The sequence below is a fragment of the Homo sapiens genome, chromosome 9 (assembly GCF_000001405.40).
Source record: "Homo sapiens chromosome 9, GRCh38.p14 Primary Assembly".
Lineage (NCBI taxonomy): Eukaryota > Metazoa > Chordata > Mammalia > Primates > Hominidae > Homo > Homo sapiens.
The window spans coordinates 100,313,256-100,327,561 of NC_000009.12; the positions used below are offsets into that span (position 1 = coordinate 100,313,256).

General features: G+C 36.4%; 1 protein-coding gene across 5 annotated transcripts in view; it reads right to left on the reverse strand.

The window, feature by feature from the left end:
* TEX10 (testis expressed 10) overlaps nucleotides 1-14,306 on the reverse strand; it is a 50,859-nt gene that overhangs the window by 11,172 nt on the left and 25,381 nt on the right. For 4 of the 5 annotated variants that reach the window (XM_011518798.3, NM_017746.4, NM_001161584.2 and 1 more), the window contains 3 exons: nucleotides 13,047-13,224; nucleotides 8,428-8,516; nucleotides 7,010-7,143 (listed from right to left, as the gene is read on the reverse strand). In XM_011518798.3, coding sequence (XP_011517100.1) covers nucleotides 7,010-7,143; nucleotides 8,428-8,516; nucleotides 13,047-13,224 — 401 coding nt within the window. Of the gene's footprint in view, nucleotides 1-7,009; nucleotides 7,144-8,427; nucleotides 8,517-13,033; nucleotides 13,225-14,306 lie in introns of those variants that run through there. The other variant, XM_047423524.1, reaches the window with a different exon arrangement.

Genomic DNA, 14,306 nt, shown 5'->3' on the forward strand with positions numbered 1-14,306 from the left:
TGTAACCCCAGCACTTTGGGAGACCAAGGCAGGTGGATCACCTGAGGTCAGAAGTTCAAGACCAGCCTGGTCAACATGGTGAAACCCTGTCTCTACTAAATATACAAAAATTAGCCAGGCATGGTGGCAAGCGCCTGTAATCCCAGCTACTCGGGAGGCTAAGGCAGGAGAATCGCTTGAACCCGGGAGGCAGAGGTTGCAGTGAGCAGAGATCGTGCCATTGTACGCCAGCCTGGGCAACAAGAGTGAAACTTGGTCAAAAAAAAAAAAAAGAAAAAGAAAAAGAAAAAAATTTAAGAAATAAAGAATAGGGTCGGGCACAGTGGGTCACACCTGTAATTCCAGCACTTTGGGAGGCCAAGGCAGGCAGATCACTTGAGGTCAGGAGTTCAAGACCAGCCTGGCCTACATGGTGAAACCCCGTCTCTACTAAAAATACAAAAGCAGGTGTGGTGGTGCATACCTGTAATCCCAGCTACTCAAGAGGCTGAGGCAAGAGAATTGCTTGAACCCAGGAGGCAGAGGTTGGCAGTGACCTGAGACTGTGCCACTGCACTCCGGCTTGGGCGACAGAGTGAAACTGTGTTTCCAAAAAAAAAAAAAAAAAGAGACACACACATAGGAACGTAGCCTTCTTTTCTCAGCGTGTCCCTGTATGGTTTTGGTATCACGTGATACTGGTGTCACAGAATGAATTAAGGAGAATTCCCTCTTCCCTCCTTGATTTTTGGAAACAATTTCAGGAGAATGAGTATTAGCTCTTTTTTGTACATTTGGCAGAATTCAGCTGTGAATCCATCTGGTTCTGGGCTTTTTGTTCTTTGGAGATTTTTCTTTTTTTTTTTTTTTTGAGACAGAGTCTCGCTCTGTCACCCACGCTGGAGTGCAGTGGCACTGTCTAGGCTCACTGCAACCTCCACCTCCTGGCTTTAAGCAATTCTCCTGCCTCAGCCTCCCGGGTAGCAGGGACTACAGATGCATGCCACCACACCTGGGTAACTTTTGTATATTTAGTAGAGACAGGGTTTCACCATATTGCTCAGGCTGGTCTTGAACTCCTGACTTCGTGATCCTCCCACCTCAGCCTCCCAAAATGCTGGGATTGCAGGCATGAGCCACTGCGCCCGGCCTGGAGATTTTTTTATTACCAATTTAACCATACTACTCATTATTGGTCTGTTCAGATTTTCTGTTTCATCCTGGTTCAACCTTGGGGAGTTGTATGTTTCCAGGAATTTATCCATTTTCCCTCTAGGTTTTCCAGTTTGTAGGTATATAGTTGTTTGTAACAGTCTTTGTGGTATCAGTTGTTATGTCTCCTTTTCATTTCTTTTTTTGTCTATTTGGATCTTCACTATTCTTCCTTAGTCTAGCTACCGGCTATCAATCTTATCATTTTGAAGAACCAACTTTGCATTTTGTTGACCCTTTGTATTGTTTTTTGATCTCTATTTCATTTAGTTCTGCTCTAATCTTTGTTATTTCTTGTCTTCTGCTAATTTTGGGCTTGGTTTGTTCTTACTTTTCTAGTTCCCTGAAGTGCAACGTTAGGTTGCTGATTAGTTATCTTTCTCCTTTTTTGATGTAGACATTTAATGCTATGAAGTTCCCTCTCAGCACTGCTTTTCCTGTATCTCATGGGTTTTAGTATGATTTGTTTCCATTTTCAATTGTTTCTAAAATGTTTTGAATTTCTATTTTAATTTCTTCAGTGACTCAATGATTGCTCAAGAGCACGTCATCGTTCAGGTGTATGTTGTTTGATTTTGCAATACATTAATGCAAAACGATGTATTTGCATCATTTGTAAAGTTCCTCTTAGTACTGATTTCTTATTTTATTCCACTGTGGTCTGAGGAGATATACTTGGTATGATTTTGATTTTTTAAAATTTGTTGGGACTTGTTGTGACCTACCATATGGTCTATCTGGGAGATAGGTAGTTCTATGTGATGATGAGAAGAATGTATATTCTGCAGTTTGTTGAGTAGAATATTCTATAAATGTCTGTAAGGTCCACTTAGTCTAAAGTTCAACTTAAGTCTGATGTTTCTTTGTATTTTCTTTCTCGATGATCTAATGCTGAGACTGGGGTGTTAAAGCACCCCACTATTATTGTATTGCTATGTATTTCTTCCTTTAGGTCTAGTAATACTTTGGAATCTGGATGCTCTGGTGTTGGGTGCATATATACTTAGTGGTGTTGGGTGCATATATATTTAGAATTGTTATATCCTCTTGCTGAATTGATCCGTTCATCATTACATAATGATTTTCTCTGTATTTTTTAAACCTGTTTTTGATTTGAAGTCTGTTTTACCTGTAAAAGTATAGCTACTCCTGCTCACTTGTGGTTTGTTTGTATGAGTATCTTTTACCACCTCTCTAATCCCAGCTTTCAGCCAATAAAGTACTTTTTGGCTTTCAGGGTTTTTTTGTTTTTTCCTTTCAGCACTTTGATTATGCCATCCCATTCTCTTTTGGCCTGTAAGGTTTCTGCTAAAAAGTCTGCTGTTAGTCTGACGGGATTTTCTTTATAAATGACTAGACACTATTCTCTTGCTGATTTTAGAATTCTCTCTTTCATTTTGACTTTAGACAGTCTGATTATAATATGTCACGATGAAGTCCTTTCTGCAATGTATTCTCCCGAAGACTGCTAGGCCTTCTGTATCTGGACGTCTAAATCTCCTGGTAGGCTTGGAAAGTTTTCATCAATTACTTTGTTGGCTAGGTTTTCTAAACTTTAAATCTTTCTTCCCCTTGGGAATACCAATAATTCATAAGCTTAGTCACTTTACATAAGTCCCAAATGTCCTGAAGGCTTTGTTCATTCTTTTATTCCCTTATGAACACAGACACAAAATTCCTCCACAAGATACTTGCAAATCAACTCTAAAAGCACATCAAAGATAATATACCATGACGCAGGTTTCTATCTCAGGGGTGCAAGAATGGTTCAGTATACACAAATCAATAAATGTAATACATCACATAAACAGAATTAAGGACAAAAACCATATGATCATTTCAAAAGACACAAAAAATGCATTTGATAAAATTCAGCATCCCTTCATGATAAAAACCCTCAACAAACTAGGCATAGAAGAAACATGCCTCAAAATAATAAAGGCCATCCATATATGACAAACCCACAGCCAACATCACACTGAATGAAGAAAAGTTGGAAAGATTTCTTGTAAGAAATGGAACAAGACAAGGATGCCCACTTTCATCATCCTATTCAACATAGTACGGGACGTCCTAGCCAGAGCAATCAGGCAAGAGAAAAAAAATAAAAGACATCCAAATTGGAAAAGAGGAAGCTGAATTATCCCTGTTTGCTGATATGATTATTTTTTAAGAGATGGAGTCTCGCTCTGTTGCCCCAACTGGAGTGCAGTGGCACAGTCATAGTTCACTGCATCCTCAAACTCCTGGGTTCCAGCTATCCTACTGCCCCAACCTTCCAAGTAGCTAGTACTACAGGTGCATGCCACCATATCCAACTAGATGGTATGATCTTATATCTAGAAATGAATTCAAGATGTAAGATCAACATACAAAAATCAGTACATTTCTATATACCAATAACTAGTTGAAAACAAAATCAAGAAGGCAATCCCACTTATAATAGCTAAAAAAAAAAAAAAAAAAAAAACCTAGGAATATATTTAACCAAGGAGGTAAAAGAGCTCTACAAAGAGAACTAGAAAACACTGATGAAAGAAAATGTAGATGACACAAACAAATGGAAAAACATTCAATGTTCAGATAGAAAGACTGACATCGTTAAAATGACAACACTAACCAAATTAATCTTTAGATTAAATGAAACGGCTGTCAAAATACCAGTATCATTTTTCACAAAATTAGAAAAAAACCATCCTAAAAATAATATGGAACCAAAACAAGAGCCTGAATAGCCAAAGCAATACTAAGCAAAAAGAGCAAAGCTGGAAGTATCACATTCCCTGTGATACTTTACATTACCTACAAGGCTGTAGTAAACACAACAACATGGTACTGCTATAAAAACAGATGCATGGATCAAGGGAACAGAATAGAGAACCAAAAATAACAGCACATATTTATAACCAACTCAGCTTTGACAAAGTCAACAAGAACTACACTGGAGATAGGACAACTTTTACAATAAATGGTGCTGAGAAAATTGGAATGTCATGCAGAAAAATGAAACTGAATCTCTCTTACAATATACAAAAATCAACTCGAGATGATTAAACACTTAAATGTAGGACATGAAACTATAAAAATAATAAGAATCTACAGAAAACTCTTCTGGACATTGATCTAGACAAATAATTCATGACTAAGAGCCCAAAAGCACAAGCAACAAAAACAACAATAGACAAATAGGACTTCATTACACTAAAAAATTTCTACACAGAAAAATAACTACCTAAGCAAACAGAAAACCTGCAGAATGGGAGAAAATATAGGCAAACCATGCATCCAACAGGAGACTAATACCAAAAATTTACAATACAAGGAACTCAAGCAACAACAAAAAATCAAATAACCCCGTTAAAAAGTAGACAAAAGGATATGAATGGGTATTTTTCAAGATGACAAATTGGCCAAAAAGGCACACATGAAAAAATGTTCAACACATTAATCATCAGAGAACTACAAATTAAAACCACAAAAAGATATCATCTCATACCAGTCAGAATGGCTATTAAGAAGACAAAAAAAACAGATATTGGTGAGGATGCAGAACTTACACACTGTTGGTGAGAATGTCAATTAGTACAACCTCTGTGGAAATCAGTATAAAGATTTCTCAAATAACTGAAAATAGAACTACCACTCAATCCAGCACTCCCACTACCAAGTATGTACCCAAAGGAAAAGAAATAATTACATCAAAAAGATACCTATGTTTATTGCAGGACTATTCACAATTCACAATAGCAAATATATGGAATTGACCTAAATGTTCACCAACGTATGCGTGGATAAAGAAAATGTGATATTTACACACAATGAAATACTATTTAGCCATAGAAAAGAATAAAATCATGCCTTCTGCAGCAATATGGATATAACGGAAGGCCATTATCTTAAGTGAAACAAGTCAGACACAGACAAATGGCGCATATTCTTGCTTGTAAGTGGGAGCTAAAAATAATGTCTACTCATGGACATAGAGTGTGAAATGACATACAATAGAGACTCAAAAAGGTGAATGGGTGGGAGTGGGGTGAATGATAGGAGATTACTTAATGGGTACAGTGTACATTGTTGGGTGATACTCTCAGATACCTGATTCACCATTGTATAGTCTTACGCATGTAACAAAACTGCATTTGTACCCCTAAATTTACATGCACACACAAAAGAATAAAAATAAACTTAAAAACTTAGAAATGAAACAAATCTTTAGTATTAATGTTTGTGATACTGTTTGTGTATTTAGTATAAGTATTTGTAACATTTAAGACAATTTTGCCTATTAGGGCAAAAGATCAGCCTTATAATTCCAATTTAAAACATGTCAGCAGCTGGGCATGATGCCATATGCCTACAGCCCCAGCTACTCAGAAGGCTGAGGCAGGAGGATCACTTGAGCCCAGGAATTCAAGGCCAGCCTGGGCAAAATAGCAAGATCTCTTAAAAAGAAGACACCAGGCTGGGAGCAGTGGCTCACACCTGTAATCTCAGCACTTTGGGAAGCCAAGATGGGAGGATCACCTGAGGTTAGGAATTCAAGACCAGCCTGACCAACATGGCAAAACCATCTCTACTAAAAATACAAAAAAATTAGCCAGGAGTAGTGGCGGGCGCCTGTAATCCCAGCTACTCAGGAGGCTAAGGCAGGAGAATCGCTTAAACCCGGGAGACGGAGGTTGCAGTGAGCCGAGACAGCACCAATGCACTCCAGCCTGGGCGACAAAAGCGAGACTCCATCTCAAAAAAACAAAAAACACCAAACCAAACCCCAAAACAGTAACAAAAAACTTTTTAAAGTCAGTAGTTAATTAATTCAGACTTGTGGTTTTAATTTCAAGTTTCATTAAGTAGTACTAAAACATAAGATTTCCCATATTTATATCTTTAATTTATTAAATATCTCTAAGATTTACTTCAATTATTTGTGAAGGTTTGTCAGAAAACTGAAGTATTGGACAAATACTATTATGGTTATTTAAGAAAATAAAAAAATTAGGTTTGTAAAAGGAATAAAATTAAATCAAAGTCCTCTTTTAAATGTTTACATTTACTGAAAAAATAAGACTTGTAGGCTGGGTGTGGTGGCTCACGCCTGTAATCCCAGCACTTTGGGAGGCTGAGGCTGGTGGATCACCTAAGGTCAGGAGTTCGAGACCAGCCTGGCCAACATAGTAAAACCCCGTCTCTACTAAAAATACAAAAAATTAGCCAGGTGCAGTGGCGCCTGCCTGTAATCCCAGCTACTTGGGAGGCTGAGGCAGGAGAATCACTTAAACCTGGGAGGTGGAGGTTGCAGCAAGCAGAGATTGCACCATTGCACTCTAACCTGGGCAACAAGAGCAAAACTCTGTCTCAAAAAAATAAAATAAAATAAAATAAAAAATAAGACTTGTAAAACAAACTTCAAAACTTAAAGAATTTGGGTTTTAAATTTAATTTCAATAAGTTACATAGTAATTCTTAAAACCAAAGGAACTGGTGAATAATCTACCGTTTAAAAAGTCACCTTCAAGGATACCAACTCTTACTTAAGTCTTATCCTTCAAAACCTCAAATTCTTACTCTTTCATAATGCTTTCCTCTTTTAAAAAGATGGATCTATCATTCAAATTGCTGATTTGTTCTGTTCTAGTGGCACAATTTATAAAGAATGTTTCCCTTTTCAAACGTACTTCTCCCATCCAAGATTATAAGCACTTTAAACAAGTATCTTTGAAAAGATCTCACACAAGGCAACTCATATATAGTAACTATTACTGGTTGATGAACTGAATTTTAATAATTATTAGTTTCTTTTTAAATGAACTATTACCTCTGTTACATCCCAGTGGTGTAAAAATTGATCCAAATCTGTAAGGTAGAGAAGCACAGGGGAAAGCTGTGTCTGGATGACATGAGGAACTCCTCGAAGGCTCTGAAGCCAAGTCAACTCCTCTTTCGAAAACCCTAATTCAGGTAACAAAGAAAGCCAATTTAAAAAAACAAAAAACAAAAAACAATGACTTTCTTAAAAAACAGAGATGACATATGCCTTCAAGTGAACATTCTTTAAGCTACCTTGTTTTCTCTGAGCTTCTGCATTTCATGCTATATTTTAAAAAATAAAATGCTAGCAATGAAGACAGTTAAATTCATATAATTATATAAAAGATGTGATCAGACCCAATCTATAATATAGCAAGAAACAGGTTTTACCACTTCTACTAGGGTTTTGACAATTTTACTTAGAGTGAAAGGCATAATCTTTCCAATTAATGGTAGGTTTAAAAAAGCAAATGAGCAAGTAAAAGCAGTAATATACTCCTACATATATATCAAATGCTTTAGGTTCTTAGATAATAGACCTTCAAATGTTTCAAAACTACTCCATCCCCCTAGGTGTTTTTACTTTGACAATACATGTATAGTTCATTCAACAATTTCTAGTTCCCCTTACCACCTCTATTTACACTTGGCCTAACCTACACAAACAAGCTGCCAAAGTCACTCCTGAAAGGTAGTTCTCAAAATGATCAGAATACCACTGATGTGGCCCAACCCTATCTACCTTGATGTTCAAATCACTATACTTCTGTAAGCACTACCTAAAGAGGCATCATCTAGTTTGATAGCCATGTCATAGTACTGACTCCCAATGAGCTTTCTAAAATCACTAAAAACTTTCTGACAACTACTATTAAAACACACAGCCTCTCCCACCTCAAATGTATACATTCATAAATATACAGTAAACATATAGGAGCTTACATTTATCTTCTGAAGTATTTATCTTGCTAGATTCAGCATAGTATTGGATCTGTCAAGTTCTTTTTGGATCCTGACACTATATTAACTCTCCTAATTTCAAGTCTTCAGAAAATTTCAAAGAATCCTATCATTATCCAAGTATACAATGAAAATATTCAAATAATACATTTAAAATAATAGTAGTAGTACATCAAACTTAAAAATACAATAACATGACATTCAAATAATGCTCAGGGTTTTGATACTCATACTATAAGAGATTTAAAGACAAATCATCCATCCTCCTGCCTCAGAAGCCTAACAGTGTATGTAGGTTAGAAATATTCTTTCGATTTCCAGTTACTAATCACAAAAATCACTCCAAGATAGAATATTTATCATCTTCAAAACTGAACCAAACTGATAAAATGGCAAATCTTAGAAGGAGAATTGTGATTCATATTAGGTTTTTTCTTTTTTAATCTGGCAAGTGAATGTGGTTACCTGTAAGTGTGGAAAATAAGAAGCTGAAATAGTCTACATCACTCATCAACCAGTCTTTAGCTGAATACTTCCACCCAGAAAATGATGATCTATAAAAAACAAAGGGAGAACTATTACCAGAAGTGACCAACTTGACAGACTTGTCAAAGGTAGCACAGTATATAACCATTGTTCTTTACTGAAAACAAGTTTGATTTAGTAGCTTAAAATAAAACCCATAGTATGCCTTGTATTAATTTCATATCCAAGGGCTCAAGTACCCTAGTATGAAAGTTTGAAATTCAAACATATTAATACAAACTTTCATTAAAAAGCATACTTGATCAACATATATAGTACAACAGAAAATTTCCATCCCATCTGAAAATCAGACTCTAAGGAGCCAAGATGAAGTTTTGCTTTTCAGTAGTAGGTTCAGCTGCTATGTATTTACTATTTGATTTTTATAGTCTTACCCTCAGCAAATGAGTTATGTTTAAACAAGCTTCAGCTTCCTACATAACTAAGCAAAAGTATCTTAATTAGGCAAAGAAAACTTATCTTTAAAGCCACTATAAGGCAACTATGTGTTCTTATTCTTAGTAAAGTTGTAACTAGGTCTATTTCACAATAGTGCAGCTAAGGTATTGGCAGAGGACTCAAAAGGAATAGCTAAATGTAAAGCAGCTTCCCATTAAATGAGGATTATTTGGTTCCTCCTATGAGATCAGTTTCTAGTGTCTCCTTTAAAAATTCCCTTCAAGGTAAGGCTAGGAAGAAAACAGATGTCAGTCATGGGTATTGCAAAAAGGCTGAGAATAATCAGACAAACTTATACTAAAAATTTTTATCACAGACAACTGAATAAATATCAAACAAAATTAGGAACTTCTAATTCACCTATAAGTACTTAGTAATTTTTTTACTGTTATAATAATTGCATTTATATTTATTTATATATATATTTTTTGGGGGGATGGAGTTTCTCTTGTTGCCCAGGCTGGAGTGCAATGGCATGATCTCAGCTCACTGCAACCTCCACCTCCTGGGTTCAAACGACTCTCCTGCTTCAGCCTCCTGAGTAGCTGGGATTATAGACGTGCACCAACACACCCAGCTAATTTTTGTATTTTTAGTAGAGATGGGGTTTCACCATGTTGACCAGGCTGGTCTCAAACCCTTGACCTCAGGTGATCCACCTGCCTCGGTCTCCCAGAGTTCTGGGATTACAGTTGTGAGCCACTGCACCCAGCCTTATTAATATTCTTAAGGAGGGGACAGGCATAAAATAATGAAAACACTCTTCTTGAGTGTCATTCCCAGGTGATAAGCAAAGGTCTATGGGGACAATAGCACATGCTAAGGGGGTTATAAAAAGCACAGATGCTCAACACAAAGAAGTACAAAATAGTGGTTGAAAAACAAACTATTATCTTCTTGACCTCAATGAAAACAGGAAGCAATTGTGCCATCCAGTGGCCAAAAGGGGCAGCAAATTTATTTAACAGCCTATTTAAAATTCTGACCCTGTGAAAAGTGATAAATGACAAGCAATATATCATACTGTCTTTAAAACTATGAAAACCATATATACTTTCCAAGCCTGAACACTTCTGTGAGTAAAAGGGGGTGGCTGGCGCTGATTATGCTGGGCCAAAAGGAGTAAAATGGAACTGTTCCTGGCAGACCAGGTCATATGTTCACCCTATTTAAAACCCAAGCCAAACTTCTTGGTGCAAGCCAATTTCTCCTTCCTCAGAGATTTTACCTAACACCACGGAGCATCTTTCCGTATTTATGCTTTCTGTTTCCCCAATCTGGCTATAAATAAACTGGGGTAGAGGGGTAAGAACTGAGAAAAGGCCACTGGATATTATTATGAAACACCACAAGTAGAATGGTATGAGGAAAACATCAGATTGTAAAAAAACTATAACTGGTTGGTAAAAAGGTAGAGAGAGCAATTCTAAACACATTTTTTAAAAGCTGAGAGAAAATAAACATGAATGATTTCTAGCTGATGGGTTTTTAACACATGGAATCCTTGCTTAGGTGGTACATGTCCTGCCATTAGACAAATGCTTTAATAGAGACAGCAAGGTATCAGAACTACAAAAATTGAGCTAAACTTGATCTCACAGACCAATTAGTGTGACAAGATAAAAATCAGAAATGAGTAAAGGAGTATTGCAGAAAAATCAATCTGGCAACAGTATACAGGATGCATAGGACTGAGAAGCAACATTGTAAGAGTATAAGTGGGAAATAATTTAAAAGTTGACTATTTTATAGTCATGGTCAAGAAGAGGAGCTATTTTGAATAAAAAACTAAAGATATGAAGTAACCCAACATATGTCTGAATGAACTAACCGTCAGTCTTTTTTTTTAAAGATGGAGTCTCCTTCTGTCACCCAGGGTAGAGTGCAGCGGCATGATCTCAGCTCACTACAACCTCCGCCTCCTGGGTTCAAGCAATTCTCCTGCCTCAGCCTCCTGAGTAGCTGGGGTTACATGCATGAGCCGCCATGCCCAGCTAATTTTTGTATTTTTAATAGAGATGGGGTTTCACCACGTTGGCCAGGCTGGTCTCAAACTCCTGACCTCAAGTGATCTGCCTGCCTCAGCCTCTCATAGTGCTGGGATTTACAGGTATGAGCCACTGCGCCTGGCTAGTCTTATTATGACCCTATGAAAAGTGATAAAATGATGGTGCTATGGGCTCAAGAAGGCTGAAAAGTCCTAATTTTGTATTCTTTTTAAAAAGGGACTACTTTAGATGGGAATAATATACCTACATAGAGAGAAGTCTACTAATGGACTCTGTACAAATACTAAAAAGCAAAATTTAATTTGGTAGACTTTTAACTACAATGACAATCATTTAAATATGAGTCTGTATTATCAGTATTTGTAAAATTAATATATTTTCCCAATTCTCGCCACTCATCGCCACAAAAAGATAAAAGCAAAAAAACCCCAAGATTTTAAAATAATCCTTGACAAAAGTTATTAAACATAAGTGAACAGATGTTGATGAAGACATTAAATGCATCTTCCAAGGAGAATCAATTTCAAGAAACATTCAAGGGGTGATTTAACGGAACTGAATGTAAGTTATATCTAAGGAACAGAGTGCCCTCTACTGGAAGTCAAATAAAAAACAAGCTCTTAAGTTACGGAAAATTTTTTTTAAAAATTTAACTTTTAAAAGGCCTAGCATTTTGCTTACACAAAACAAAGTGCAGTTTTTTAATATCTAAAAAGAAAAAACATGGGAAACTAATCAATATTTAAAATTCTTAAAAAATATGTCCAGGCCCCTCTAATGTGCATATACAAGGAAGAAATAAACCTAAAATTTTTAAATACAAACAATATTTTATTTATATGTTTTTCTCTGTTTTGGTAAAAGGCAAGTTTATTGTCAGTTATGAAGCACACTTCCAGTGACCAGAGTCAAATATCTGTCCTATACTGGTATGAAGAAAGTCTATTAAAAGTAAGCTACTCTTACCTACCTGAGATAGGGGATCTATACAAGAAAAGTTTTCAACTACAGCCTAGATTTCTATTTCTGCCTAAAACCACATCAGACCCTACCCACAACCAGTAATACTGCTGAATACTAAAATACTATGACTGAAGATATATACATGAGGATACTTCCAACATGAGCAACATAAAACCTTTCAGAGTTTCAGAGTAAAATGGCACAGCCGCTATGGAAAATGGCATGTAGTGCTAGCTACTTTGGAGTCCAAGGAGGGAGGATCTCCTGAGCCCAAGAGTTCAAAGCTGCAGTGAGCTATGATCATGCCACTTGCACTCTAATCTGGGCAACAGAGTGAGAACTTGTCTCTTGAAATATTAAAACTTTCTTTTTTTTGAGACAGAGTCTCACTCTGTCGCCCAGATTGGAGTGCAGTGGTGCCATCTTGACTCACTGCAACCTCCACCTCCCGGGTTCAAGCAATTCTCCTGCCTCAGCCTCCTGAGTAGCTGGGACTATAGGCATGCACCATCATGCCCAGCTAATTTTTGTATTTATAGCAGAGATGGGGTTTCACCATGCTGGCCAGGCTGGTCTTGAACTTCTGACCTCGTGATCTGCCCACCTCGGCCTCCCAAAATGCTGGGATTACAGGCATGAGCCACTACGCCTGGCAAAACTTTTCAAGAAAGGTTAAAATGGTAAATTTTATGTTATGTTTATTATACCACCAGGAAAAAAAAAGTGAGAGATTACAAGTGATTCCTGGTCTCAGTCCACAAGCTTGTTTAATTCACCAGCTACATTAAATTCTGAGCTCTCTGAAGAAAAGGTCTATACTGCAATTCCATAACAACAAAGGTTTGAAGTACGACACCATCACCTACCAATAAATCCCTTACTACACACACTTTTGATAATTCTATTTCAACCCTTATTCCAAGCTATCTATAAAAGTCATTAAACAAGTAACTTGAAACAGTCTTACTCTTGTGAACTTACTCTACCTAGTGATATAGTTTTAATTGTTGCATTAAGAGTAAATGAAAGTAGTGTATGCGACTTCAAAAGGCTTCCGTAATTCACAAATTACCAGTAAAAGGGGAAAAAGATTATACACTTAAAATACAGCTCACTTGAGCATGCTACCTCATGTGCAGTATCCCGATAAGCATGGCAGCCAAACTTGAACTGAGTCTTCCCATAATACAGCAACGACTTAACCGAGAAAGCAAATCAGCCGGCAGACTGGGTAGGAAATATACAAGCTGAACCAAACGCTGCTGAGAGTCTGCAGGGAGAACCACCACAGCACCTTCTTGTGGATCTAGTGAGGTGGATAGACATATTAAAAACAACTATAAAAGACATGCAAACCAGAGATTAATAAAGCAGATCAATGACTTCCATTGAATTATGGGCTAACATTTTATGCTGAATTTTATGAATATCAATTACATAAAAGCATAATTATATTAATATCATAAAACACATATGTATGGCTTGTTAAGCTACTGCATAAAATAAAACACCAAACATAATTTAAAGATTTAATATACAAGTGTCTTGTTAGAAATAAAAACTTTCAGGGGGGTAATAAGGAAAAGAGATTGAATGCAAAGTAAACAAGCAATTTTGCTAAACAGTGACAATTACATCAACCTGACTTAAAGCAAAAGACTTTGTTTGCTGTGTGTATATATATATACCTACAGATATATGACCAATATTGAAAAATACATATTTAAAACTACAACCCACAAAAGGTGGAAACCACTCAAATGTTCATCACCAGACAAATGGATAAATACCAGTGACATATCCATACAACAAAATACTACTCAACAATAAAAAGGAATAAAGTATTGATACTTGTTACAACACGGACAAATCTTGAAAATATTATGCTAAGTGAAACAAGCCAGACACAAAAGGCCCCATGTTATGTAATTCCAAAATATCCATGATAGGCAAATCCATATAGACAGAAAGTAGATGAGTGATTTCCAGGGGCTGGGGGAAGAAAGGAATAAGGATGAACTTCCAATCAGTACAAGTTTCTTTCTGGGGTGATAAAAATGTTTTAGAATTAGACAGTGGTGATAGTTGCACAACCTTAGGAATATATTTTTTAAAATTCATTGAACTGTACATTGTAAAATGGTGAATTTTATAGTATGTGAATTATATTTCAATAATTATATGCATACATACATCCCAGTTATGTTTTAATAATTTTGCTTAAAATATTAGTTAAGTCAGTCCTAGATGAACAAAGAATATATGAAAGTCATACGAGATATTCACTATGATTAAATAAGTAATAAAGATATGTCTTGCCATCAGAGCTTCAAAGGAATTTTTAAGTATCAGATTAGTTTTGAATTTATGAATAGCAAGTGGTTTGAA